Genomic DNA, 27,282 nt, shown 5'->3' with positions numbered 1-27,282 from the left:
TTTGTCACTTGGTTGGGTGCAGACCGCGGCTGGTTTGTAGGACAAGGAGCTGGAGCTTCACGCCTCAGAACCGAGATTTTTTTCTGTGAAGTTGGAGGCCAGGCTGTCTGGGGATGGTGAGGAGCTGGAGGTGAGGCCTTGAGGTGTGGAGTGGCCTCGACGGGACCGGGCTGGGGTGGGGCTGCCCTACCACCAGGGAAGGGGTGAGGGGTGCTGGTGCCCTGAGACTGCCATTTGGATGGTTCCCTTTGGCTCCAGGAGCATTGTCCATGGGCTAAAGGGGCTGGGGTGGAGTGGGCAAGCAGGCGAATGGACTGGGCCAGGGGTGGCCCGGGCAGTGGAGTGGGGCACCACTCAGGGTGTGGAAGGAAGGGGAGCAGAGGGGCCCCGCATGCTCTCATGGGGATGGGGCTAATGGGCAGGGGTGAGAGCAGCAGGAGGTCGCACCGTGAGGCCAGACTGTGAAGTGGGGCCCTCGTGGGTGCAGCGGTCGGGGCCTGTGGCAGCAGCAGGTGCACTGTGTTCCTGCTCAGCGTCTTAACAAGTGGGCTTATCAGGCGAGTTGCCAAAACCTCTCAATGCCTCCATTTCCACCCTGTAAAGTGGGAGTGCCTGTGGGTCCTGCCTCATGGGGTTGGTGAGGGTTCAGCAAGGTGGGACAGGTAGAAATCGGCCTCTCTAGGTGCCATCTCCTAGGCCCAATCCCAGCTCTGCATCAAGCTCGTGGTGCACATTTGGGCACAGGGCTCCAGCCCTCTGTGCTTCAATTTCTTCCTCTGTCAACAAGGCTGTTGATCGTTTGCACCTCCCAGGGTGTTTGGAGAATGAACAGACTTAATTTGTAAAGTGTACTGCCCTCGGCGTGGTCCTCAGGACAGGCAGGGTCAGTGTTGGAGGGAGCTGTCACCATTGGCAATGACGTCTCCTTGAAGAGTCGGGAGGACTTGGGGTGGAGATGAAGACTGAGCCAGGTACTGGAGTGTGGTGTGCCCTGGAAGATATTTGATGGCATTAAAGAGCAGAGGTGGTAGCTCTGCATGTGGGGTAAGGCTCTCAGGACAAAGCGTTTTGCAGGAGAATAGGGTGTGAGTGCTGGCACAGTTCCCGGGGGAGTGGCGGGTAGGTAGGGCAGGTGGGGACCTCCCCATAGCCTTCACCTGTCAGCCCCTCAGTATTGGAGAAGATTTTTTTACCTTCCACCCCAATATATACTTTTTAAAAATCAGAATTAAATAAAAGACTTTCAGGAAGGAAATGAATGTCCTAGTTACTCAAACTACAGAAGGGTGAAGATAGGTTCATTATTAAAGTGCTACAGGATAATTCATGGAGACGAACGACACAATTAACAATTTCCATGCCGCAAAACAAAGATAAAACTGAGCCAGGCGCAGTGGCTTAAGCCTGTAATTCCAACATTTTGGGAGGCTGAGGTGGGTGGATTGCTTGAGCTCAGGACTTGGAGACCAGCCTGGGAAACATGGCAAAACCTCTCAATGCCTTTGTATTTTGTACCAAAAGTACAAAAATTAGCCAGGCGTGGTGGCACGTGTCTGCAGTCCTGGGAAGTTGAGAGGCTGAGGTGGGAGGATCGCTTTAGCCCAGGAAACGAAGGTTGCAGTGAGCTGAGATCATGCCACTGCACCCCAGCCTAAGTGAGACTCTGTCTAAAAAAAAAAAAAAGAAAGAAAGAAAAGAAAAACAAAACAAAAAACCCAAAGATAAAAATGTCTGTGTGTAGGGGAGGTGGGAAGGGGTGAAGTAGGGAGAAAAGACTCAACACGTAAGAAGAATAGGAATTCAATAGCTAAAGTGGAAAACAGAATATTAGGCTCCTGATGGGCATGTGGGCAAAGGAAATAGTACACTTTATGCAACAGGAAACATAAAAGAAAATAAGTATTTCAAAAGGGTCCACCATCTGCTCACACTCCTATCCCCGTGTCCCTGAGAAATAAACAAGTGTAGCTCAGTAGCTGTGACCTGGTGGCCTGGACAGGGAGCTGCTGGGAGGCCAGAGGGGGTACTCAGAGGTGAGCAGAATCCCCTCATTCCTTGACTCCTGGCCCCAAGGCCCAGGTGGGAGGCGGGGGGGTCCTGGCTGCCCGGCGGGAGTGGAGGGAATGCTGGGAAGCTGTTGCCAGGGTTTAGCCCAGGACTCTGCTCCCTTGAGCGCCAAACCTCAGGAGGGCCTCAGGAGGACCTGGATGAGACAGAGCCAGAGGTGTTCACTTGGAAGCATTTGTTTAATGTTCACAAGACATTCAGTGGCTCCATGTGCCAGGGGAGCCATGGGACAGGGTGGGCTTCCAGAATTCTCTCCTCCCCTGCATTTGGCAGCAGGGGAAACTTGGGACGTACAGAGACCTGTGCTCTCTGTAAACTTCGTAGTAAAGGGCCTCCTCTGGATGCCGTGGGCTTTCGGTGATAAGACAACCATTGCATTTGAAGACCACCTTTGTCCAACTTCTGCACATTCTGGGGGCTCCAAGCCCCATCAGGGCCATCAACAGCCATGGGCAGGATGACTGCAGGGAGAAGCTTGGTGGCTCTAAAAGAATTGGCTGGATCATGACAAGAACAGAAGGCACAGATATCTGAGCATCTGCAACCTTCTCCTGTAACCTTGATGTTACATTTCCAGTGAGTGACAGAGGGGCACGTGGGGTGACATGGGAGGGGAAGGCTGCATTCTGGACAGTTGCTGCCCCCTTGCGTGTTTTACTCCCTTCTGCCTTGACATTAAGCATCACTGACCTCAGCCACCATGGGCCCACTTTCAAGGAGACATCTTCAATTGCTAAGGGGGATTATCAGGGCCCCGAGTTGGGGGGCTTGGGGGCACGCACCTTCCTGTCTTTGTGAGCACCTAGGGGGCAGGGTGTCAGTCCTCAGGGACTTGGCAAAGGCTCCAGGAACGGGCTTCGTGTGGTATAGCACCCAGCTGACCGTGCAGGGGAGTCATCCGGGCTCAATGTTTAAGTGGGGCTTGGTGGCCGGATGCAGTGGTTCACACCAGTAATCCCAGCACTTTGGGAGGCCGAGGTGGGGGATCGCTTGAGTCCAGGAGTCCGAGACCAGCCTGGGCAACATGGCAAAACCCCATCTCTATTTTTACAAAAAATAAAATAAAATAAAGAAGTGGGGCTTGGGAACAGAAGTGTTCCCGGCAGAATGGGAGGGGAGAGGCCAGATGGGGAGCCATAGGATGGGGCCTGGGGCAAGTCCCTGCCTAGCCCAGCTCTTGGAGCTCAACCCTTTGAGTCTGTCTCCAGGCCGCACCTGGAGGGTTGGAGCAGAGGGTGGGGGCAGGTGCTGCTCATCTTCCTCTCTTTGCCTCTTCTTCCTGAGTTCCCCTGCCTTCCTCTCTCTGTTGGGGCTTCCTCTGATTTTTAGGACCCCTTTTCCTTGGATCATGAGGGTCTCATTATCAATGTTCCTCCTTTTTTTTTCTTTTCCTTCAAATAGACCCAGCAGGGGAGACAAAGGCAGGCATAAATCAACGAGGAATGGGGGCCTCAGTCACTGCTTGAGTACCAGGCACTTCCTGGGTACACTTACCCCTGTTACCATGCCGACTCCTAAAACAACGTTTTCTGAGACAGGTACTGTCATCTGTCTTCACCACCACTGCCTGGTCCCTAGGAGATGATCCACAAACATTTTTTGATTGAATGGATGTGTAACTCCAATTTGCGGCTGGGGAAATGGGCTCAGAGAGGTTAGGCAACCAGCCCAAGCTGACAGAGCTGCTTTGTGGGGAGTGGCGGCCAGAGACCTGCTGAGGCTATCTTCAGAGTCCGGCTGCCTCAGATGCCCTGGATCCTTCTTTCAGACACTCTGACGCCCCCACTCCTGCCCTCATTCCTTCTTGTTGCTGCTGGTGCCCTCATCCCAACCCAACCCCTGCTGCCCCAGTGGGTCTGTCACATGCTGCCCCTGTGCCAAGCGTGTGTTCCCTGGGACCCCGGGGCGGCCCGTGCCCCTGGTTCCTGCCTGGCCAGCTTCCAGCCTCGGCTCCTGCCATTCCCCCCTTACCCTGGTGCAGAGGGTGCCCGGGCCCTCACCAACCCCGTGCCCCTCCTGCCTGTGCCTGCACCTGGGCTGCCCTCCTCCAGCATCCTCCTCCCTCCCCGTGTCTCTTAGGGTTCAGCTCTTGCCCCTGCCCCTGTTCCCTGACCAGCTCTCTGGGGCAGGCTTGGGAGCACTTCTTGCACAGCTCTGGGCCAAGTGGTCACCCTGCAAACCCCCTGGTGGGCAGGTTTCCCCCCTTGGAGGGAAAGGATGCCCCACGAGGGCAGGGCCAGGCCTCTGGCTGCTGAAGGAGCGAATTTCACCAGCGTCAGGGGAGGATGTGGTGAGCGCCCAGCTATCCTGGACCCGCTCTTTGATAAACACAGTCAGATTCACTTGTTCCTTGCCCTAGAAGAAGCTGGTTCCTGAAGCTCCGAAGCTGCTCCACTGGTGAAGTCGAAGGTGTGTGCCCCCAAACCCCCCAACTCGGGGCTCCCAGCCTGGAAGACAGGCAGGGACCTGCCCAGGCTCCCAAAACCTCCAAGTGATTCTGGATGGTGAGAGGGTGGGCAGGACTAGGGGGAGAAGTTTCAGGAGGCTTAAGGGAAATTTTCTGAGAAAGGTCTTCCTATTTATGACTCCCCAGGCCTGTGGCAAGGGGAGGCGAAAAGCTCGAGGGACAGGCCTGAGCCTTAGGACGGGGCCTTGGGCGAGTCCCTGCCTAGCCTTGCTCTTAGGAGCTCAAACCTTTGAGTCTCTCTGGAGACGTATCTTGGCAAGGGATCCCCCATATACCTTGGATATCCCCCAAGGTATCCAAGGGATACCCACAGGAGAGGGAGGTGGACAATGCCTTCTACTGCAGAGCAGCTCGTGTGGTCTCTAGCTTCTGTGTCAAAAGAGGGAGAAAATAAGAGCTCAGGTGTACACGGGCGGGCACAGAAACTCTGGAAGAAACTTAACAGTGGTGCCCTGGGGGGTAGGTGAGAGCTGGATTTAGGAGTGGGACAGATATTTTCCTATATGTGTTTACATATGTATTTGAATCATGTGCATGTTTTCAAAAATTTAAAAATTTAAAAATTTTAATATTGCAACAGCAATAAAGTAGAAATATTCATTTCTTAAAAGAAGGTAGCCAGGGCCGGGAGCGGTGGCTCACATCTGTAATCCTAACACTTTGGGAGGCCGAGGTGGGTGAATCACGAGGTCGGGAGTTCAAGACCAGCCTGACCAACATGGTGAAACCTTGTCTCTACTAAAAATACGAAAAAAGTTAGTCGGGCCTGGTGGCACAAGCCTGTAATCCCAGCTACTCAGGAGGCTGAGGCAGGAGAATCACTTGAACCCGGGAAGTGGAGGTTGCAGTGAGCCAAGATAGTGCCACTGCACTGCAGCCTGGGCAACAGAGCGAGACTCTGTATCAAAAAAAAAAAAAAAAAAAAAAAAAGAAGGTAGCCAGAATGGGAGTAGACAAGGCTCCCTTTGAGAAGGGGCTGAGCAGAGACACTGCTCCCTGCAGGCCACTCAGTGTGGATGCCTTCCTGGGGCCTCACATTGCAGGCTCTGGGTATGGAGGTGGGTGCCAGACACCGGTGTGTTTCCTCCCTGCTACTGTCCCAGCAGGCTCCTGGCCTCCTCCCGCACCCAGGGTGCGGGCCTGGCTGCCCCCCCTTGCCCAGTAGCCAGCCTTTGGCTTAGATTGGGCTGGTGGCCCAGTAGGGGGGCCTCGCTGGGGGCAGGACTGCCCTGTGCCCTGTCTTGGCACCCAGGCCAGCTTGGGGCTCCACGGCCTGGAGCAGGCAGTGGACTTGGCACTGCCCATCGCACAAGCCCAGGTGAGAGCTTAAAAGTTGTCATGGTTCCATCAACCTCTTCACCAGACAGTGGGAAGACCCAGCTCCAGAGGGCCAGGTGGTTCCCCTGCAGTGACTTGCAAGGTGTTATTTACAGAGGGGACCCATGTGTTGGATGAATCATCCAAAAAACCCAGGAGTAGTTTCTATTCCTGTAGACACCTGAAAGTCCCAGCACGCATAGCTTTTAAAAATTGCTTGTGTTTGGTCCTCCGACAGGGCCTCCCAGCACCTCCAGGGCATGAGAGCTGCATCTGCCGGGGTAGTTTCAGCCCAGACTTTCCTGATGGGCTGGAATCTATGAGGGCTCCCAGCTAAGAGCCACCCAGGCCCACGGGTGAGTCTCAGCCCTCCCAGCCCTGAAGGTGGGAGATGCCAGGGAAATCTCTGCTTGCAGGGCCCTAGGAAGCCACAGGCCCAAGGCTGCCCCAAATCTCTGTGCAGGCCTGGGACAGAGAAGCCGAGGCTGGGGAACCTGTGGGGCCCCACTGACCATTCTTGCAGACACACATGCAGTGGCTGAGGTCTCCTCCGACGCTAGGCACGCAAGTCCTAACCTGCAAGTACTAAATAGCACCACCTTCCTTTCCTTTCTGTGGGCAGCAGTTTCAAATCCTAAACCCCCAAAGTGCTGGAAGCCACGACGGCCCTTGGCAGGTGCTGAGAATGGCTGCCCCTGTGTGGTGCCCCTGTTAGGGTGTCTGGGGTGCGTAGGAGGCTTCCTCCTCCAGAGGCTTCCCAGGGCTTGACACATGCAGTGTGATTTTTGGCTTTTTGGTTTTTTGTTTTGTTTTTTGGAGCTGCGGGAGGGGGGCGTGCAGATCTTCCAAGAGGGCGGGAGAGTGTAGACCCTCCTCCTGGAAACTGCTCCCCATGTCCACACTCTAGTTCCACACAGCCTCTCTGTAGACCCCAGAGCAAGAGCCCCTAAGCCAGACAGGGTGACACTGGAGCGGCTCAAAGAGCATCTGGTCCCACCCCTTTATTTCACTCACAAGGAAGTCGAGACCCAGAGAGGGGAAGTGACTCTCCCCAGAACAGGCTGACAGCCAGGCCTGGAGGAGAAATGACATCTCTCAGCCCTCTCAGCTGCACCGGACCACCAACAGGTAACAGCCTCTGGGCCATTTAGAGAAACTAAGGCACGGAGCCTCCAACCTGACCTTGCTCTTGTGGACTGCAGGTAACTCTCCTAAGATCAGTGGGGCTTGTGTGGGCCTGGGCTTTGTGCACACCTGTCCCAACTCAGCGAGCAGTCCCAGGTGTCAGGGCAGCGGCAGCCTCCAGGCAGCCTCCGTGACAGCAGCAGCGGCAGGCAGACCTGGTTTGTCCCCGATTACGAGTGACATTTTTCTACGAACCCTCAACTTCCTCCTGATCTGACTCAGGGTTGCAGCATCATGTCGGGTCGGGAAACCTCCCCATAGGCAGCCTGGGAGCCTTCCCGGGGCATGTAGCTCACGTGCCACCGCCCTCCACCAAGCCCGCCGCCCATTCCCCAGAATCTTGTTGGGAAACCACCAAGCGCCCGAGATGACACACTCTCAGGGATCATCCTGCAGCCCTGAGCAAGTGCTTACTGGGGACCAGAAGGAGCCTGGGAGCCCAGGCTCACCCACTCACCAGCTGCGTAATTTCTCTAGCCTCCGTTTACCTCTCTGGGGCATGAGGCAATACACGGTTTCTTCCTCACGGGGCGCTCAAGGGCAGTAAATGATGGAGAGGAAAGCCCTGGTTGCTATCCTACATTATAGCTGCATTGTTCTCTAACCCTAGCCAAGTGTCTCTTGGAGAGGCTGGGCGGGAAGACACAGCAGCACTTAGAACCCTGAACATTCTAGATTCTTCCCTGAGAGTGAGAACACAAAGTCAGGACATGTCTGGCTGGCCTGGCTTCACCTGGGCTTTGTGCTGCCCGAGGCAGTGGGGATGAGAGGACAGGGCAGGGCAAAGTGCCGCCCACAGCTCTGTGGAAGGCAAGGTTTGCCTTTGGTTCTGAGCGGCTGTCCCAGCTGTAAAGGGAGCACCAGTCACTGTGGAGCTGCAGCAGACCTGGCCATTTGTTCCGTCATTTCTTCACCCCCTCTTTCATGCAATAAGACCTTCCCAACGACAAACTGTATGTGAGGCTCGGTGATAAAGGTGAAAGGGACATGGTCCTGGTCCTGGGGTTGCTGGAGGACAGCAGGGACACGCTCCCCCTGGGATACACAGAGGACTTTTCAAGGCACCCACTCAGGACTGCACTGGGAAAACCACATCAGATGATGTGGGTGAACCTGGGAAGTGGGCATTTCAAGGAAGAGGTGGGATTTTTAGCAGTGGAGGAGAGAGTCCAAGGAGAAAGAGGAGCATGAGCATGCAAAGAAGTGAGGAGGGGGCTTGGCAACTCCTGGATCCCAGATGCTCTTGCTTGTGATGCTGATGGGGGCCAGGGTGAGCGAGGAGGAGAGACTCAGAACATGAGTTCCAGCTGGTCCCTCACGGCCTTTTTGACCTTGGGTAGAATCTTTAACATCTCTAAGCCTTACTGTCCTTATCTGTAAAATGGGCATAATTAGGGCAATCTCCTAGGAGTGTCCTGAGTTCCCATCGTAGATCACTGAGCACACTGCTGGCCACCTTTCACGTCCCCAAGCCGGCCCCTCCCCTCTCCCAGCCCCACTCCAACCCCCCAGCCCAAGCTCCAGCAACATTCAGGCATTGGGGAGATTGTGGTCATGTGCTCTGTCCCCTCTGTGTCCTGTTCCTTCTTCTATCGTGGCCCCCAGAAGCCCAGCTCAGGCACAGGCGGATGACTTTATTCACACTATGGTGTTACTGGTGGATACGCTGTGTATTCTAACTGCGGCATTTTTGGGGGAGTATTCCAGGGCTCCTCAAATCCATCCCTGCGGCTGTGCCAATGCTGCTTTTTTAGGCTCTGGCCCTGCCATCTCTGAGGTGGCTCACGCTGCAATGCTCTGTGCAGATAACAGCCTGGCAGCTGCAGGAAGGGCCACCTTCTCAGTTGCAACCCTCCTTAGGGTTGTGATCTTCTTGTTGCTTGTGTTCTCTGGAAAGTCCAGGCCACAGAGGGAAGAAAGGTAGGTCTGGTGTGGAGCCACATAGCTGGGTTTCGAGGTCTCAGCTGTGCAGGCAAAGCCACAGGGCTGCCGCAAGTGGGACACTGGATCCTTGAGGGTGTGGGCGGATGAGGGTACCATGGACCACTGGCAGTTGCGGGAATCCCAGCTGCAGAATGTGTAGAGTCAGCAATTAAGAACCAGCACAGGCCGGGTGCTCGGGCTCACGCCTGTAATCCCAGCAGTTTGGGAGGCAGAGGCAAGAGGATTGCTCGATCCCAGAAATTTGAGGCCAGCCTGGGCAACACAGTAAGACCTTGTCTCTACAAAAAATAAAAAATTAGGCCAGGAGCGATGGCTCACACCCGTAATCCCAGCACTTTGGGAGGCAGGTGGATCACCTGAGGTCGGGAGTTCGAGACCAGCCTGACCAACATAGAGAAACGCTGTATCTACGAAAAATACAAAATTAGCCGGGCGTGGTGGCACATGCCTGTAATCCCATCTACTCAGGAGCCTGAGGCAGGAGAATTGCTTGAACCTGGGAGGCAGAGGTTGCAGTGAGCCGAGATCACACCATTGCACCCCAGCCTGGGCAACAAGAGTGAAACTCCATCTCAAAAATAAATAAATAAATAAAAATAAATTTTAAAATCAAAAAATAAAAAATTAATTGGGTATGGTGATGCATGCCTGTAGTCCCAGCTACTCGGAGGGCTGAGGTGGGAGGATTGCTTGAGCCTGGGAAGTTGAGGTTGCAGTGAACCTCAATTGTGCCACTGCACTCCAGCCTGGGTGACAAAGCAAGATGCTAACTTAAACAAACAAACAAATCAGCACATTGAGGCCAGGGCTCCGGGCTCGGGGCTGAGCAGGGCCTTGAGGATGGAAGAAATGAGACGGAAACCCCCAAGCAGAGGGAGCCAGGAGGAGAAGCAAGGCCTCTGTGCTCCACCCCAGTCCCTTTCCACACGTCACATACTTTCTCTCCTTTTCACCAAACATTGGAAAACAGCCTTATATTGAAAGGAGATTCTACTTCAGGGTTAAAAATCAACAAACAAAAACACCCTTCAGTAAGACACGGCTGTGTGCATGAATTCCCTCTACAGCACCCTGGATAAGCACATAGCCCTGCCTTTGCTTGCATACCTCTGGTGACAGAGAGCCCTCCACATGACGAGGCTGCTTTGCTTTGTCTACTCTCAGACACTCTGGCTGCGAGATAGGTTTGCTTTCTGCAGCACCTGGAACCCATTCCTTTTCTGACCCTGTGAAGTCTTATGGTGGAACACGTCACGATCACTGGAGGATGGATGACCTTGTGCCTTTCCCTCTAGGGATTAGGAGCATCTCTAGGCCTTTCTGCATCTTCTCCCATGCTGTGGTTCCCTAGCCCCTCCGAGTTCAGCCCCTGCAGACAGACAGCCTCGGGTCCTAGGGTGATCAGAGCTGTGCATTGGCCATGGTCACTCCCATTCCACTTCCAGGATCTTTGAGTGTAGCCTTGGCTCACCTCGTTTCTCCCTTTCATGTTTAAAAGAACACTTAGGAATTCCCACTTTCCTTAAAGTGGTGACTGCGTTTGTGTTTTGTGTATAAATATTGTTTCTTTACAATATTTCAGCAATGTACGTCTGATTTTGTCTCTGACTCACACGTGAAGAGCCTGTGTAAAAGAATGCATAGAAATGCCTGTATTTTTAATATGGCACTGCAGCTAAGTGGTCAGGACCAACAAACAGCTATTTTCTTTGTGGTCCGAGAATGAGGAGTGTAAAATTGCCATTGCCTGTGCTCGGGAATGGGGTAAATTTTGTGAAAGACACTTCTATTCTTCTAAAGAGAGCATAGACCCTTGATTTATGATGTACTTCTCCCTGATCTGCTAGTCTACCTTATTAGTTGGGTTGTTCAGAGCTCTAATTTCTGTCTATTTTGATCATGGGTATTCCACAGGAGGGGCACTAAGGGCTCCAGCTACATTATATTTCCATTTTTTAAAATTTCTTTTGCATTTCCTGCATGGTCCCATTATGTACTTGTTTGCTGTGCTAATTGGAACAGAAATTGAGTGTTTTAAGTTTTCATTATTTATTGTAACTTTCACTCTTGTGGAGTCTCCATGTTACTTTCTCAATTCTTTTTACTAAAAAAAAAATTACTTTGTCCTATTCCCTTCCTTTCTAGCACAAAATGTGCCTGATAAACCAAAGATTATGCTATCATTTTACTCTGTGTCTTTTCATTTTCTTAGTGTTTTTCCTTGACAAAAGATGATTGAATTTTGTTTTTTTTAAATTGATGGTTGGTTTTAATAGATTAATATAGGGAGTATTAACAATTGTTTATAAATTTGCATAAACCTCTGTGAGGTTGCCCCTCTGTTTTCTATATTGTGATATTATAGTTTTTTCATTTTCAGTTTCTACTGTGAATCTTCTCTTCCTTTTGTCCCGTTAAGATAGACAAGGTGATTTAACCTAAATATTCAATTTGGAAAATATTTAAGTTCTTAACTTCTTGATGCTATTGATAGCTTGCCAAGCTTTGGGGGAATTATATTTTAAATCTCTTTTCTTACCTTCACCTACTCTTCACTATGAAGCTGGCATTTTGTCTCTTTTATGTCGTCTTTTACTGCTTATGTAATACACATTTTTATAATGTGATGGCTGACCTGTGAACAGAGGAAACTTGTTTATTTTTCAATTTTTTTTTAAAAAAATCATGAATCAGGTTCTTGTTGCTGTTCTCCCATCATTTGGGTGGGATTGCTGTCTCACTTGACACTCCCACATCTCTCTCTCACTTCATGCTTCGTTCCCAGCCCCATCTTGAAATGCTCATCTCTGACCCTGAAAGGTCATGCCTCATCAGCTGAGCTTTGGTGAATTCAATGCATAACTTTTAATTTTGTGTAAACCTTGCGCCCTGCCATGCCTCAAACACAAACCCAGACCACAAGTTGTTTCTCTGATACAGAAGGAAAAAATTGAAAGCTATCCTTACTGGTCTCCTTTTTCCCCACCAAGCATTATATATATATATTTTTTTAATCTCAGGTTTTCATATTATCATTAACTAATTAGAAAAGCACACACACACACACACACACAAAAGACAGAGATAAAGATAAAAGATTTTAAAAATCACCCACCTTCCAACTGCTAGAATGCAACCACTGGTTGGGATGTAGAAATCTTTTTTTAGGTTTTTTTTTTTTCCCCTCTATGCGTGGGTTTTTGTAATTTTAATCACAGTTGAAATCATTCTGAATGTCTAATTCTATAGTTTGTGGGGTTTTTACTCAACATAGTCAGCATAAACATAACAGTCAGACAGAAAAATTTTCCATTGAGTAAATTTACCGTAGTGAACTTAACCTCTTGTTGGCATTTACATGTGTGTATGTATTTTTTACTATTAGAAAAAAAGTAATGTGGTAATACAGTGAGGCAAAGAAGAATAAGAAGAAAAAATGCCAAGGTGGACATATTTTTGTACACAATTTTTCTTCTTTCATATAATTTACTTAAGGTGAATTCTCAGAATCACTGGATTAAAGACATACAATTTTCATGGCTTGTAATAGAAATTATCAAATCCCAAAAGTGGTGTGCTAATTTGTACACTTACTAGCATATTGGTGACTGGTTTCACAGAACCCTTGCCAAATTCTTTGTTAAATTTGATAAGCAAAAATGTTATCTCTTTGTAAATCCTCTTCTGGGAACTGCCTATGTCATTGGCTTGTTCTTCTATTGTTGTTCTTGATGTTATTCATTTTAATATTCTCTTCTCAGAGAAAGAACGTCATTTGTCTAACATTGATTGTGTTTTGTTTCTTCGAGTACATTATTTGATGTTAAGACTTTTTAGCAAAAAGAATTTTTTTTGTGCAGTCAAACCTGTCCTGTTTATTTTCTGTTTCTTTGATTTTCAGTTATGCTAAGTTGACAAAGAGCTTTTCCCTTTAGTGATTTTATAAGTTGTTTATTAAATTTTCATCTAGTTTTTCTATGATTTGATTGTTTTGAAATGTAATTCCTTGATGAATTTGGAATTTCTTTTGAGATACCGTGTAAGATGAGACTCTAAGTTGGTTTTTACTCCCAAATTGTTAACTGACAGTCTTAACATAATTCTTAACATAATTTCTTAACTAAGCCTTCCCTTTGTATTATTGATTTTTGTGGAATGCCTCATTTATTCTTGCTTCTGTTAAATGTGTTAGTGCATAGTCTGAGATTTTTGGGTTAGTAAATGTCTGATTTCAACAAGAATGTCCCTACTATTTTACCATTAAATACAAAGTTGTCATTGGTGTGAGCAATTTACTCTTTGTAAGAAGTACTTTCCTGTTCCATTAGTTAAATAACTCAAAAAACTATTTATACAATTGGATGACTTTTTATTTTTGCTCTAATGATGTGATACAAAACATTAATTGATTTCCTAACACTGAAACTATCTTACATTTCTATAGTGAATCTGATTCATCATGATGATTTATAATGTTAATGTACTGAATTCCACCTGGTAATATTTTAATTAGGATGTTTGCATATATATTCATAATTGTATTTGAGCAAGTCTGTCTCTTTTGTGCTGAGTTTCGCTATTTGGATAAGTTAGTTTAATAGAAATTCATTAATACTATGTTCTGAAATACTTTATAGGGCACGGGGATTATCTGTTGCTTGAAAATTTGAAATAAGCTAGAGCCTATTTTAAGAGTAATTCTTTGATAATATTCTGTTTCTTTTATGGTTATTGGTCTAGTCAATAATTCTATTTCTTCTTGTGTCAAACCTTGTATAGATTGTGGTAAATTATTTTTTGCCCCCAAATCAACAACTACATCAAGGTTTTTCAACAGATCAACACACACGTAACAATGCAGTTTCTTGCTATTTTTGCTCTCCTCTCTAACTCAGCTTAATGTCTTCTTTCTTATTTCTAGTTATGACCATTTGAGCCCTTTCTTCTTGATCATAGTTGTTAGAGATATAGGTATTGCTTCGTTTATTGCTTCTGTTCTGAAGGAACCACCTATTAAATGTGTTGATTCTGATATTTTCTCTTTTCTAATTCCTTTATTTCCACTTTTATCTTTATACTTTTTTCCTGATTTCCCTAAGACATTTTTTCCCTAAATGCTCAAGTTAAGTGCTTAATTCATTTATTTAATGTCCTTAAAGAAAATTAAAGCAGTTAGGGCAATGTGTTTATCTCTGAGAATAGTTTTGGCTGTATCCTGTGAATTTTTTTTTTTTTAAAACAACCAATCCAAAAAGTTCTTGCTATTCTTCACATGTATTTAGTTTTGTAGTTCTCACTTTATTTTTAAATAGTCATTATTATTTTTGTTATTATTTTGAGACAGAATTTATATAAACAGGGTCTTACTTTGTTGCCCAGGCTAAAGGGTAGTAGCATGATCACAGGTCACTGCAGCCTCGACCTCCTGGACTCAAGCCATCCTCTTGCCTTAACCTCTGCCTCTGAGTAGCTGGAACTATAGGCACAAGCCACCACATCCAGCTAATTAAAAAAAAAAAATTGTAGAGACAGAAGTTTCACTATGTTGTGAGGTTGATCTCAAACTCCTGGGCTCAAACGATCCTCCCTCCTTTGCCTCCCAAAGTGCTGGGATTACAGGCATAAGCCACTGCACCCGGCCAGGCTGTATTTTTATTTTCTAGGTCTTTGTGTATGAGGTCAGAGAGTATAGCCAAAATAATTTCTGAATTTTTTTAATGGATGGTTTTGTTCTTGTAAGGTAGATAATTCATTTTTGGCAAGTGTTTTTTGGCTGCTTGAGAAAAAAAATGGGTTACCTATTTGTTTAAAACCAAGCCCAAGGGCTATTAATTAAACTGTATTAATCATATTATTTATATAATTCTATGTCCTAATTTATATTTTGCCTATTTGTTTTGTTCTAATCTACAGTACATGAAAGTCTGACACTGCAGTTTGTTTTTGCCAATGGCTCCTTGAATTCTAAGAATTGTACCTGATGTACTTTTCCACCATTCGGTGTATAAGATTACTACATTTGCCCTCGCAATTGAGTTTTTATTTTATTCTATAAAAATAAGCTTCTTAATCCTGATGAGCAATTTTGTTCTGCAATTCTACAAGGCTAGTTATGAATATTGCCTCCCTGTCTTTCTTTTGTTTATATTTGTCTGTTCTATCGCCACAGAACTTTTATGTGGAACATTTCTGTGTCATTTAAGTGCACCCTTCATAAGAGCAAACAGTTATATTTTATTTTTGAATTGAGAATATTAATAAAAGTTGAATTTTTTCACACTTATTGTTGTAATTTCTATGCTGTTTCTTTTCCTATTATATTCACTCCTTTGCTATGTAGTTGGTTTTGTTTCTTTTCATCTTCTGTAGTAATTTTGAAGGTAGACATCATATTTTTAATAGTGGTTGCTTTTAAGGTTTTCAAGAATCTGACACATATTTCTGTAATTATTGAAGTAAAAAAAAAACAGAATAGAAATATTAGCAATAGAGCCTTTTGCTTCACCCCAGGCACTTACTATTACCCTCCATTGTCCCCACCCCCTACAACACAAGAACATTCTTCCTGCTTTATTAATTTATCCGCAATATTAAAACTTGTCTCTTTCTAGGGACACAGATTATCTCTTTTTTTTTTTTCTTAGAGAGAGGGTCTCACTCTGTTACACAGGCTGGAGTGCAGTGGCACGATCATGGCTCACTGCAGCCTCAAACTCCTGGGCTCAAGCGATCCTCCCACATAGCCGCCCAAATAGTTGGGGACCACAGGCACGAGCCACCATGCCCTACTAATTAAGTTTTTTTTTTGGTAGAGATGGGGTTTCACTATGTTGCCTAGGCGGGTCTCAAACTCCTGGGCTCAAGTGATCCTCCCACACAGCCTGCCAAATAGTTGGGGACTACAGGCACGAGCCACCACACTCTACTAATCTAAAAAAAATTTTTTTTTCTTTTTTGGAGAGATGAAGTTTCACTATGTTGCCCAGGCTGGTCTCAAACTCCTGGGCTCGAGTGCTCCTTCAACCTTGGCCTCCCAAAGTGCTGGGATTACAGGTGTGAGCCACTAGTCCAGCCAGATAATCTCTTCTGTTTTTTTTTTTCTTTTGATTTTAAATGTGTAACTATATTCATCATAACTTAAGTCTCTTTCCATAGTTTCCTGCTTTCAATTCAATGCTCAGTTCCAAGCTTTTCTACCTTGATGTTTTCATCCTTGCACTCTTCTTAGTGATGATCTCTTGGAGGTCTAAAGTTTTGGGGCGGTTGTTTTTCTACAGGCCACATCCACCTGAGACTTGCTTTCTGCAAGTCTGGTTCTTCCAACCAGAAGAACGCCTGGTTGGATACGAAATTCTTGCACCCAGATCTTCTCCCTCAAACCTCTTCTGGTGTTAATTATTTTTTCAGAGGTTTCCAAGGAACTTGGTTTGTTTATTCATGGATGTTTGTGAGGCTGTATCTTGGTGACATTTAAACATGTCAGCGGGACATTCAGAGGTGTCAGCAGGGCCTCTGGGAGTGGCTCTCTCCATAGCTTTTGCATGAAACATGGCGCTTCATCTCCTGTATTGTCTCATTTACTCCACGGTTCAATTCAGCCCCACCTCTCAGCCACCGTGCTGCTGTTGACTCACAATGGTTTGGGGTCCTTTCACTCCATTCACAGATGCTATTTGCTTGACCCATGACCTTTGCCCACTCAATGCTACTTCCTTCTGGAGGAGGCTGGGACTGCCCCATTCCAGTCCCCTAGGAGGCGAAGGCACCCACCCATCCCTGCTGCGGATGGTAGAAAGGCAGCACTCCACAGATGGTGCTGCTGGGGTGGAAACTGAGAACATCTCCACTGCTGCCTGTGACACAGATCCCAACATCAATGGCAGCACTGGGATGGCTCCTTGGCAGCTATGCAGGGGTGCTGCTGAGACCTCCCCGGAATTCCAGAGAACCCACTCCCAGGGTCCCTGACCACAGTCAGTGCAGCTCTGCTGCTTCAGGTCCATGGTGATGTTGATGCTGATGCCACTCTCTTTGGGCTACTCCTAGCCAGTGCCTGAACTGGGCAGAGGCACTAGCCTGGGGCGATTTCTGCGGATGTGGGGCTCCTCCAACAGGCAACCTTTGCTCAGAGATGCCCCATGGCTTGGCCAAGAAGGGCTGAAATCTGCACTGCTGTCTGAAGTCCTTCCCACCTTGTTGTTCCTTCCCTCTCTCCTTCCACAGAGTCAGACCTGCAGGTGGTCTGAAGGCTCACCCCACCTCCTCCTGCTCTCTCTCCCAACTATCCTTCATGGGAACTTCCCCTGTTTAATCTCTGAGTTGTCTAGCATTGTCTTAGCATCTGCTTCTCAGGGGACCTGAGGGGACTCAACCTCCCACCCAGCCAACTACAGTACCATTGCTTGATTGGGGTGGACCCCTGGGTTGGCCAGAACAGGAGCTGCTAATGGAATGGCCCCACACCCCACAAGTAGCAAATGGTGCTAGTTGCTGCCCCCCGCCCCGTTCCCCTCCCCCACCCACAAGTAGACTGGTTTTTATTAGCAAACTTCTTTGAGAAGGATGACTGTTTCATCTCTTGCTGCCGTTTGGAGTGCATTGATGCCTTTTTTTTATCTTACTACAGTGAGGCTTCTGATTTTTTTGAAAAAGACTCTAAAAAGATGGTTTCCTTGGACTTTCAGAGGGAATTCAAATTAATTTTTCAGATTCTCTGTTCACTCTGCCATTAGCCGGCAGTATTTTTTCAACCTAATTTCTTCTTGCCAGCCCATAGAGTGCCTTCTCTGGCTTCAAAGACTACCCTCTGAGAAGCTTCCATTTGAAGTCTGTCGGTAATTCAAATGTGACCTTTAGAATAATCCTACCGGGGAATACTGATGGCCAAATTGTGTCTATGAATATACCTGCTACTGTCAATGGAGACTCATCCCAGCACCTGAGGTTGTGTGCTTTCTGTCAGATCACTTTCCTCCCGTTGTTATTCGTTTGTTCCCCCAATTCAGCCACACACTGTGTCTGGGTTTGGGTTGGACTTTGAGCATCACCGATTGTTTTCTTGGCCACTTTGAACCACCAGCAATACGGTGGATTCATCCATGCAGTTGGCCGGTAACAGCTGACAGTAAGGGCCTCTGAGTGTTGAGCTTTTGTCATTGGTGGCTCCTTTTTCTTAATTGGTTAGTGTGACCCAGACAAAGACAGATGTCCTCAGTTCCCTTTTCAAAATCTTATTGGATCTCTTTAAACATAAACTTGTATTCATTCTTATCTTTGTGGTTCTTGGTTTTCTGCTGTTTCTGGTCTTGAAGACAACTTCTCCAAGCCAATTCCATCTTCCTCTTTGGTGTTGCAACATTTTACATTTAGACTTGAACTGGGCTTTGACCTGCTTTTCTCATCATTTTTGAAATTTGCCTTGTGAGTTCCAAGCTATTCCAGTAATTTTTTGAGCTAGGCCTGTGGCCATTTCAGCATGTTTAGTGAGGAGGCGGCCACCCCACCTTGCAGATTCTGAGCATCCTGAGTAGGACCAGTTACTCCTACACACCCCTAGGAGGCACCATCCCCACAGACCACAGGACACCAAGGCTTTGAATAAGAGGAAGTATTTTTTCCTAGATCTCTCATTACATAAATCTGTGAGAAAAGTTAACACATTGGAAACCATAGAATCTTTGGAAAGCCACCAAATCAAGTAATGTATGTTAAATGTTTAGTGCGTAGTGCTCAATGGATGATATATATATGAACCTATAAACATCTATCTATATATATCGATTTTCTTTTTCATTAGAGATCAGAGAGGGCTTGGGAATGGTATTACATATAAGATCTTAAAACACACCCCAATTTTTTCCTCCCACGGGCGCCCAATAGTGATGAGAAACAATAGCAGAATGAGAATTCTGTTAGCAATAGCTGCACAGCAAAGAAATAAGTCATAGGAATGCTTATTGTGGAATTCATTGTTTCCTGGTAAAATACTGGAAACCTAAATGTTTATGAATAAGCTACTGGCTAAATGAGTTTTGGTATACCTACACAATGGGAGGCAAACAAGCCATTCATATATGCTGATATAGACCAATGTCCAAGAAACATTGATGAGCGAAAAAGCAAGGGACAGGGGCTCTAGGTATATTATTTCCAAATTTTAAAGAAGTCATACATGTATATGTATGCATGCATATATTTGCATATATGTATCTACTTAGAAAATGTCTGGGAGGAATATGCAAGAAGCTGTAAGCCATGCTGCCTTTGAAAAGGACAGTTGAGGCCTTAGGGTACAAGGAGGCTGACTTTCCTACGCTTGTTCTTTTGTTCTCTTCGAATATCTTATTGAGCGCCTGGAATACTTTTAAAATTAATAAAAAGCTATGAAAAATAATAACAGAAGCTTTAATTAATAACAGAAGTTTTAGGAACAGGTGCGGGGCCTCCCGCCTGTAATCCCAGCACTTTGGGAGGCCGAGGTGGGTGGATCACCTGAGGTCAGGAGTTCAAGACCAGCCTGGTCAACATGGTGAAAACTGATCTCTACTAAAAATACAAAAAATTAGCCAGGGGTGGTGAGCGTGGTGGTGCATGCCTGTAATCCCAGCTATGAAGGAGACTGAGGCAGGAGAATCGCTTGAACTGGGGAGGCAGAGGTTGCAGTGAGCCAAGATTGTGCCACTGCACTCCAGCCTGGGTGACAGAGTGAGACTCCATCTCAAAAACAATAAAAATAAAAATAAAAATAAATAGCTGCAGTGGTCACTAGTATGGGATTCTCTGGTGGGAGTCCATGCTGATGTCTCCTCCCTGATACATCGATATCTTGGGATCTCAGCACCTGCTAGCCAGGAAGTCATGGGAGGTGGGAGAGGCACAGGAAGGTGGGTCTCACGGCAGGACCTGGCCGCACTTGCTCACCCAGCTGCTTTCTGCCGAAGTGGTTAAGGAAGATGCCAGGCATAAATGTCCTTTCCATGCCATGCCCCTGTGCTCTAGTGAATGTGGCACATTCCATGTCTAAGGCCAGTCCAAGTCAAGTACACCAGCAGCATGGCCTCACATGTGGGGAGAGGGAAGAGTGGGTGAGAAAGGAGGGAGCAGGGAGGTGGGCAGAGGCGGGCAAGTGGGGAGAGGGTGGAAGTTGGGTCGTATTTGAGTCCTTCTAGCAACCTGGTTCTGGATGCCTGGATTGAACACTTGGTTTTTTCCTGCTCCAGGGCTACATACCTTGATGCAGAACCCCACAATGGCACTCACCCCCTCACCCCAAATTGACCAGGCTCGGACCACACCCCTGTGCAACCACACCTGCAGCCTTGGTCCTCCCGTCCCTGAGGCCACTTCTAATTTTCTGCCCGACAAAAGGCCTTTCCTTGCCCTGTGGAGACCTCAGGGCCCCGCTCCATTCCTTCTGGGAATGCCATTTCTCCCATATCTCTCCATTTTCTGTCTGGTTTTCTCTTTGGGGTACAAGAGGCTGCAGCAGCTGCAGACCTTATATCTTGGCAACTATGAATCCCTGACAAGGGACTCCAACCCTCTGCCTGGAAACCCAAGCAAAAGTTGTGTTGATTATCATGGCTTCTTGGAGAGTCAAATATCTGTCCCTGAACCAATGAACTAACCAGCTACTGTGTCCAGGGGAATGCAACGCTCTGGTGTCAATCATCCCTGGTTGCAGGTTGACTGTGTCCAACCATCAGGAAAGTGGGTGGGAGGAGGACAAAGGAGACAAAAGGAGCTGAGTCCTGGAAACAGCATTTGAATCCCTGATCCAGCTGCTCCTGAAGTCAGCCCTACCCTAGTTTTCATGTTTTCCATTATGTGAAACTGTCTCTTTGCTTCAGCCTGTTTGGGTCTGGGTATGTGCTGTTACTTCTTTCAACAAAAGGAGTTCTGATTTAAAAGACAGATGTCCATGCACAGCAGGTTCTATATTTGTCAAAGAAAAATGTGTGTATGGTAGAAAGAGAGTGAGAAAGCGAGTCTGGAATGATATACACAAAAAGTAACAGTGGTTGCATCTGGGCAGCAGGATTAAAGGTAATTTTTCTTTTCTGTGTTCTAGTTGTGATTCAATGGGCATGAATTGCTGTGTGATGCTGGGGAGGTGTTTGTGATTCTTGACAAAGTCATTTGAATCCATCACTTCAAGAGAGTGAAAGGAGCCCCGTCTGATCTGTTGGTGTTGTAGGAAGAAACATGAGTCAGCAAAACACCAGTGGGGACTGCCTGTTTGACGGTGTCAACGAGCTGATGAAAACCCTACAGTTTGCAGTCCACATCCCCACCTTCGTCCTGGGCCTGCTCCTCAACCTGCTGGCCATCCATGGCTTCAGCACCTTCCTTAAGAACAGGTGGCCCGATTATGCTGCCACCTCCATCTACATGATCAACCTGGCAGTCTTTGACCTGCTGCTGGTGCTCTCCCTCCCATTCAAGATGGTCCTGTCCCAGGTACAGTCCCCCTTCCCGTCCCTGTGCACCCTGGTGGAGTGCCTTTACTTCGTCAGCATGTACGGAAGCGTCTTCACCATCTGCTTCATCAGCATGGACCGGTTCTTGGCCATCCGTTACCCGCTACTGGTGAGCCACCTCCGGTCCCCCAGGAAGATCTTTGGGATCTGCTGCACCATCTGGGTCCTGGTGTGGACCGGAAGCATCCCTATCTACAGTTTCCATGGGAAAGTGGAAAAATACATGTGCTTCCACAACATGTCTGATGATACCTGGAGCGCCAAGGTCTTCTTCCCGCTGGAGGTGTTTGGCTTCCTCCTTCCCATGGGCATCATGGGCTTCTGCTGCTCCAGGAGCATCCACATCCTGCTGGGCCGCCGAGACCACACCCAGGACTGGGTGCAGCAGAAAGCCTGCATCTACAGCATCGCAGCCAGCCTGGCTGTCTTCGTGGTCTCCTTCCTCCCAGTCCACCTGGGGTTCTTCCTGCAGTTCCTGGTGAGAAACAGCTTTATCGTAGAGTGCAGAGCCAAGCAGAGCATCAGCTTCTTCTTGCAATTGTCCATGTGTTTCTCCAACGTCAACTGCTGCCTGGATGTTTTCTGCTACTACTTTGTCATCAAAGAATTCCGCATGAACATCAGGGCCCACCGGCCTTCCAGGGTCCAGCTGGTCCTGCAGGACACCACGATCTCCCGGGGCTAACGGAAGGACATCCTGTTCAGGGGAAGAAAGCCCTGGCCCTGAATTCTGGTAACGGATATCGCGTTCCAGGGTTTTGATGTGGTGGGATGATCCGCACCATCTTCACTGATGTGCTTCCCTTTGATGCCCATTGAGTGCCAGCTTTGCTCATTATACCCCAAAGACCTTTTTTCCACTGCCCAGACAGCTTATACCACCCAGTGTTCAGGGATCTCTGAAGAACCCACAGACCAGGTGAATTACTGATTTCTAAGTCCAAAAACTATAGAGCAGAAGAATTGAGAAAGAGAATGAGACCATGTCAACAAGGCTGTTTCCAACTCTCCCCATTTTCCTGTTCGACTGGGAGGTTCTGGAAAGAAAGAGAGAGAGAGAAAAGAGGTAAAGGAGGGAGCCAAGAGAGTCAGTTATTGGGGAGAGTGTCTTGGGCAGAGGTGGGGTGGTAGGGATGAGTGAAGTCCCTTTTTAGTTTGGGTGTCCCAGAACAGAGCAGACTTGCATTTTCCAGTCCCTTCTGGAACTGTGTTGCCAAAAGCCTCACTGAGATGACAGCAAGAAGGGGTGGTGTTGGGGCTGGGCAAGTAGCATGGATCACCCCAAGTTTCCAGTGAGCCTCAGAAAGGTGAAGGAAGCCAGCCACACCTTTCCGTGCCCGTGAGAAGACTGCAAAATGACTGAGTGGGGTGTTGATGACATCCAAGAGCCATGAGGGGGGAGAGGAAAGGACACTTCTGGGGAAGGAAGAAGACAGGCCCAGGGCTGGAAGCACACAGCCCCTCCCCTATCACCATCAGGGTGTCCACAGCACGGAGTGTTGGTGCTGGCCCAGGGTGAAGAGAGACAGTGAGAGACGGCCTGGGAGCGGGGAGACCCCGACCTGCTTTCTATCTTAAACAGACTGGGAAGTTGCTCATTACAGCTAGCTTCCTTGAAAACAATGGCAAAGAATCAGGCCTGCCTTGGTTCCACCATAGGAGGGTGGAGGAGGTGCTGTCTTACTCACCTGCATCCTGGCTGGGCAGCTGGCACCCGTGGCACTGCCCATGGAGCCGTCCCTCCCTGGCAGCTGGGAGGGAGATGAGGCAGCTAGGCACAAGGGTGTGGCCTTGAGAAAGAAGGCAAGGGGGGGTCCCTGCTGGTCCCAGGAAACTGTAAACAATTGAGTCACGCCTGGATGGCTTCTCAACGGATCTGGAGGAGGAGTGCAAGTGACAGCGGAAGCCTCCCAATGACTCAGCTGCTCCGGAGAGTGAAATGATGAGAAGGATCCATTGTGGGGTGGTTTTGCATGACAGAGCGAGTGGGATGAGGAGTAACTGATGAGACTTCATGTGAGCAAGGTCTTCAGGAGGAAAAGCAACTGAGGTCTACTTGTAGGATCTGGGCTCAGTGGGGGCTGAAGGGCTTGGGAGGGGTGGTGACCTGAGGGGAAGAAGAGAAGCATTTGGATAAACCTGGACCTGTGGGGAGGAGGAGGAGGAAGAGGAAGAGGAAAAGGAGGGGAAGCTGAGCCGTGGCCCTAGGCTTGAAGCCTGCAGGGAGTGCAGGGTGGGTGGGGAACCTGGCTGAGCTGCTTCCTGCCTGAGAGCTTTCCCAGCTGGCCTAAGAGCCATGGACGGACAGGAGTCGCCTTCTCAGGAGCAGCTCCCGCTGTTGCTGTGTTCAAGTGGCACCCTGTACACCTCCTCCTAGGTGGATGGAGGGAAGGGTGAGGAAGAGAGCGTCAATGAAGGGGTGGAAGTGGATGTGGAGGAGTGACCAGACCAGACCAGACCAGACCAGAGGGATCGGAGGCTCAGGCCCCCTGAGCTGGGCCTCTAAGAACCACAGCCACAGAGTCAGGCTCTGCAGACCCAGAGGTAAGGCTGCCTGGCTGCCCCAAACCCCAGACACTCCTCTCCTTGCCTGCAGGCTGCCCTCTCCCATGGCCACCCTAGACAGAGACCCACCCGTGATACTCTGAGGGAGCCAGACTTTCACATGCAACGGGGCATTTGGGGCTGGTTCGGGTCAGTGTCTACGGGTGGTGGATTTAGTGACCACCCTCCTCCCACTTCTTTCTCTGCACGAGGAGTTGGGAGCCTGCCTGGTGGAGTTGAGTGATGCCCGTCATGTGCACTTGGGTCTACCAATGTGCTTAAGGCCAGATGGGCTTCCTAAGAGACAAGGGTGGGTGGACCTAACCAACTATCATCCCCAGCGATGTTCAAACATAAAATCTTATCTATGTGCAGCATGACTCTCTCCAGGTGACAGAAAGGGCTCTAGACAGCTGAGAGGACCTGATCATGTAGGGAGGGACGGGGAGGGGAGCCAGGACCCAGGAGCTGCATGGCTGTAAGAGGAAGGTCCTTGGAGGGTATCAGCAGTCTCAGTGTGATGTGACAACTATGGACCTGTGGGTGTGCCCTGGGGACCCCTGACCCATCCCAAAACACTGTGGAAAGAAGGGCCTCTTCTCCGTGGGGACCCGTGTCTGTGGGAGCGGGCACAGGTCCATGCTGCAGGCCACTACGGCTGCTCGGCAGGAGGGCCGAGAGTTTGGACCCACATAGCTGCAACCCAAGCTGGCCCATAATCAGCAGTGGGGCCCAGCAGCACAGGAGGGGCGGACGGTTAGCTTTGGAAAAAATGACTTGATTAATCTGATTCGCCAAATAAATAGATTCATGTGATGCCTTGTGACCTTGTCTTGGACTAAGCTTACTGGACCCGGAGAAGAGCAGGCCCCAGATGGCCCCTGCCAGGTCACCCAACAATCTTGGTCTCTTCAGCAGCCACCTGGCCACCAAGTGTGGGGCTGCAGGGAGTGGCCCTCCCTGCTCAGGAGCACAGCTGGGCCTGTCCAGGTGACCAGGAGCCAGACCCTTTGGGGTCTAGTTTCCACTCCCCCACATCCACACGGGTGCTTGGTTCTCTGTGGTAGCAGCCAGGCTACACAGACCCCGCATACTCGGCTGCAGTCGACCCCACCCTGCCCTTGCCACCTTGTCCCACCACCACCTTGTCGCACTGCCACCGTGACACTGCAGCTGCTTCTACAGGCCCTGGCTTCTCTGCATACACAGGGGTGGGGGGCCCAGTATGAGAAACCTGCTGACCGACTGAGGGGCTGAAGAACTGAGGGGCTGAAGACACAGGGCCAGTCTCTAGAGGTCCTCCTCGGTGGCCCTTCCCTCCCTTCTCTGACCTCCTGTGGTGGGAATCCGACTTTCCAAGGGTGGATTCTCCTAGGTTCTTTTCCGCACTTCACAGTGAATTTTGCTAGCCTTTGGAGAGCTCCCAGAAGCTGTGCCCTGCTAGGCTCTGGCCTGGGCCACTCTCTGTCCTGAGTTCCCCACAATCCCGAGCGCAGCTGATCATGGCGTGGGTGCTGAGGGCCAAGGGGGACATCTTTGCTCCATCTAACCATCTCCTACTAATCTAGGAGCCACCCCCCATGTAGGCCACGTCCCCTAGGGATAGTGACCACCTCCGCTTGGCCCCAGGGAGGATTTGACTTGGAGAATGTCAGTTCACAAGGTGCATTTGTCAACTATATTCCTCTTGAGTTACCTCTCTGGGGACCCTCGGAAGCTGAAAGTCATGATACTAATACTATGTAATTGCCACAGGATACCAAAGACCTCTGGAAGCGTAAGATAACACCCTTGTAGCAAGACCACAAAGGGATGGAGATTGCAAAGGTGCTTGAAATGACTGAGGCCTGATAACAGTTGTAGAGATTCCTAGAGGTTAAAAAGGATTCAGTTAATAGACCAGTGCGGAAAGAAATTGGGCAGAGCCACTGTGTGGGTGTGAGGAGAGGCTGGCGTGCAGAACAGTCAAGAGGCAAGGGTGGGGACATCCCCATAGCAGGAGGAGCTGTGTGGGGATGCCCACGCCAGACCACCCTTCAACTGTCCTCAAGAGTCAGTTGTACTGTGGACAGCGACTTTCCAGGGCCAAATAAAGGCTGGCAGGGACCACTTGACAACCTTACCACTGCGGGGGGACAGAGGACTCAAAGACATGCCAAAGGTGCCTTTTCTGGGTGAGCACTCCCCTGAAACTACCATCACAGGCCCCACTGGCTTTTTCCACCCAGAGCTGGCTTCTCTAGTGAGCCGAGGGCACAGAGCCATGAACAGCCATTTGAGGGGGTGTGGATAGCAGGTCAAGAGGGACTCCAGGAGCTTGAAGTGGAAGGACAAAACAGACGTCCCTCTGCCCCACTGCAGGCCTGAGCGCTCCCTCCCAGGCCAGGAGCCTGCAAGATATGACCTCCTTGCAAAGCTGTTGCAGAAAAGGCCACATGGTGCCTCAACCATGAGTCACGACAGAAACGTGGCCCTTTGTGCTTTGAAGTCTCGTGAGGTAGGATCAGAAGCACTGTCACTTCAAAGCCAGACGCGGCTCTGGTTCACTTTTGAGGCTTCAGATGACAGCTTTATTCCGGAGGCCCACGCCTGAGTGAGTGTAACAAAGACGCTGCCTGCAGGGGGGACCTGCATCTCCACCGGGGCCAGCACAGTTATGCAAAGGCTGCTTAGGGTGCAGACAGATGTCTCCAAAAAGCCTCTCTTCTCAGTAGGTGGCTTTGGGCTGTGCGTAGTGCAGATGAGAATGCATACACACGTGTGCGTTTCTCGTTCAAGTGGTGTCTCGGAGCGGCTTGCCGGTGGAGGCCACACAGAGTTTAGGAAAGTTGTGCCAGAGTTGACTAGATCTGGCTAAACCCAGATTTTCCAAACAGCCGATTCCCCAAGTCAGTGCCTAGTGCATTTCAGACGGAATGACCCTGACTGGGGAAAACTGATGTCCAATGACCCAGTGATCGCTGTGTGAGCCCCCAGCCAAAGCACAGTTCTGGGAGTGGGTGGAGGGGTTTCCCTGAGGGCAGTGGAGAAGCCTTGAGGCCAGTGGGCCTGGAGTGGTTAAGGAGGGCTCCAGAGGACCGGCTCAGGGTGGGACATGTTTGTGGGGATGGGTCTCCAGACAGCATTAGGTAGGTGGAGAGACCTCTCCCTCCCCAAGATGGGCCACGCGTTGCTGGGCACTGGGCACTGGGCACTGGGTGTGGCCCCCTTCGGCAGTAGATACCAGCCTCTTTGCTGTGGATTTCCTTCAGTTTCCTAAATCTTCAGTACCAACTTCAA

General features: G+C 49.1%; 1 protein-coding gene across 4 annotated transcripts in view, besides 9 other annotated features; it reads left to right on the top strand.

Annotated features, from left to right (window-relative positions):
- GPR55 (G protein-coupled receptor 55) overlaps positions 1–24,819 on the top strand; it is a 53,874-nt gene extending 29,055 nt beyond the window's left edge. The window contains exons 1-2 of one of the 4 annotated variants that reach the window (XM_011512176.3): positions 4,403–4,476; positions 21,051–24,819. In XM_011512176.3, coding sequence (XP_011510478.1) covers positions 21,185–22,144 — 960 coding nt within the window. In that variant the 5' untranslated portion in view covers positions 4,403–4,476; positions 21,051–21,184 and the 3' untranslated portion in view covers positions 22,145–24,819. Of the gene's footprint in view, positions 1–4,402; positions 4,477–6,904; positions 7,054–21,050 lie in introns of those variants that run through there. The other 3 variants (NM_005683.4, XM_005246952.5, XM_011512175.4) reach the window with 3 other exon arrangements.
- Positions 2,611–2,740: a silencer, noted in NCBI's record as "silent region_12421". NCBI's record gives its function as "represses an Ori minimal core promoter by ATAC-STARR-seq in GM12878 lymphoblastoid cells {active_cell/tissue: GM12878}" and the evidence as "EXISTENCE:reporter gene assay evidence [ECO:0000049][PMID:35858748]".
- Positions 5,469–5,648: a silencer, noted in NCBI's record as "silent region_12420". NCBI's record gives its function as "represses an Ori minimal core promoter by ATAC-STARR-seq in GM12878 lymphoblastoid cells {active_cell/tissue: GM12878}" and the evidence as "EXISTENCE:reporter gene assay evidence [ECO:0000049][PMID:35858748]".
- Positions 5,869–6,098: an enhancer, noted in NCBI's record as "active region_17259". NCBI's record gives its function as "activates an Ori minimal core promoter by ATAC-STARR-seq in GM12878 lymphoblastoid cells {active_cell/tissue: GM12878}" and the evidence as "EXISTENCE:reporter gene assay evidence [ECO:0000049][PMID:35858748]".
- Positions 6,772–7,560: an enhancer, noted in NCBI's record as "H3K4me1 hESC enhancer chr2:231789302-231790090 (GRCh37/hg19 assembly coordinates)". NCBI's record gives its function as "activates a minimal SCP1, AML or CMV promoter by ChIP-STARR-seq in primed H9 embryonic stem cells {active_cell/tissue: H9 hESC(primed)}" and the evidence as "EXISTENCE:reporter gene assay evidence [ECO:0000049][PMID:30033119]".
- Positions 6,919–6,968: an enhancer, noted in NCBI's record as "active region_17258". NCBI's record gives its function as "activates an Ori minimal core promoter by ATAC-STARR-seq in GM12878 lymphoblastoid cells {active_cell/tissue: GM12878}" and the evidence as "EXISTENCE:reporter gene assay evidence [ECO:0000049][PMID:35858748]".
- Positions 7,089–7,208: an enhancer, noted in NCBI's record as "active region_17257". NCBI's record gives its function as "activates an Ori minimal core promoter by ATAC-STARR-seq in GM12878 lymphoblastoid cells {active_cell/tissue: GM12878}" and the evidence as "EXISTENCE:reporter gene assay evidence [ECO:0000049][PMID:35858748]".
- Positions 22,496–23,695: an enhancer, noted in NCBI's record as "CDK7 strongly-dependent group 2 enhancer chr2:231773167-231774366 (GRCh37/hg19 assembly coordinates)". NCBI's record gives its function as "activates an origin of replication core promoter dependent on BRD2, BRD4, P300/CBP, MED14 and CDK7 cofactors, with strong dependence on CDK7, by STARR-seq in HCT116 cells {active_cell/tissue: HCT116}" and the evidence as "EXISTENCE:reporter gene assay evidence [ECO:0000049][PMID:35650434]".
- Positions 23,201–23,320: an enhancer, noted in NCBI's record as "active region_17256". NCBI's record gives its function as "activates an Ori minimal core promoter by ATAC-STARR-seq in GM12878 lymphoblastoid cells {active_cell/tissue: GM12878}" and the evidence as "EXISTENCE:reporter gene assay evidence [ECO:0000049][PMID:35858748]".
- Positions 23,331–23,440: an enhancer, noted in NCBI's record as "active region_17255". NCBI's record gives its function as "activates an Ori minimal core promoter by ATAC-STARR-seq in GM12878 lymphoblastoid cells {active_cell/tissue: GM12878}" and the evidence as "EXISTENCE:reporter gene assay evidence [ECO:0000049][PMID:35858748]".

This window comes from Homo sapiens, chromosome 2 (genome assembly GCF_000001405.40).
Source record: "Homo sapiens chromosome 2, GRCh38.p14 Primary Assembly".
NCBI lineage: Eukaryota > Metazoa > Chordata > Mammalia > Primates > Hominidae > Homo > Homo sapiens.
The sequence above is the reverse complement of the archived record's forward strand: the minus strand, read 5'-3'. Positions and strand labels throughout refer to the sequence as shown.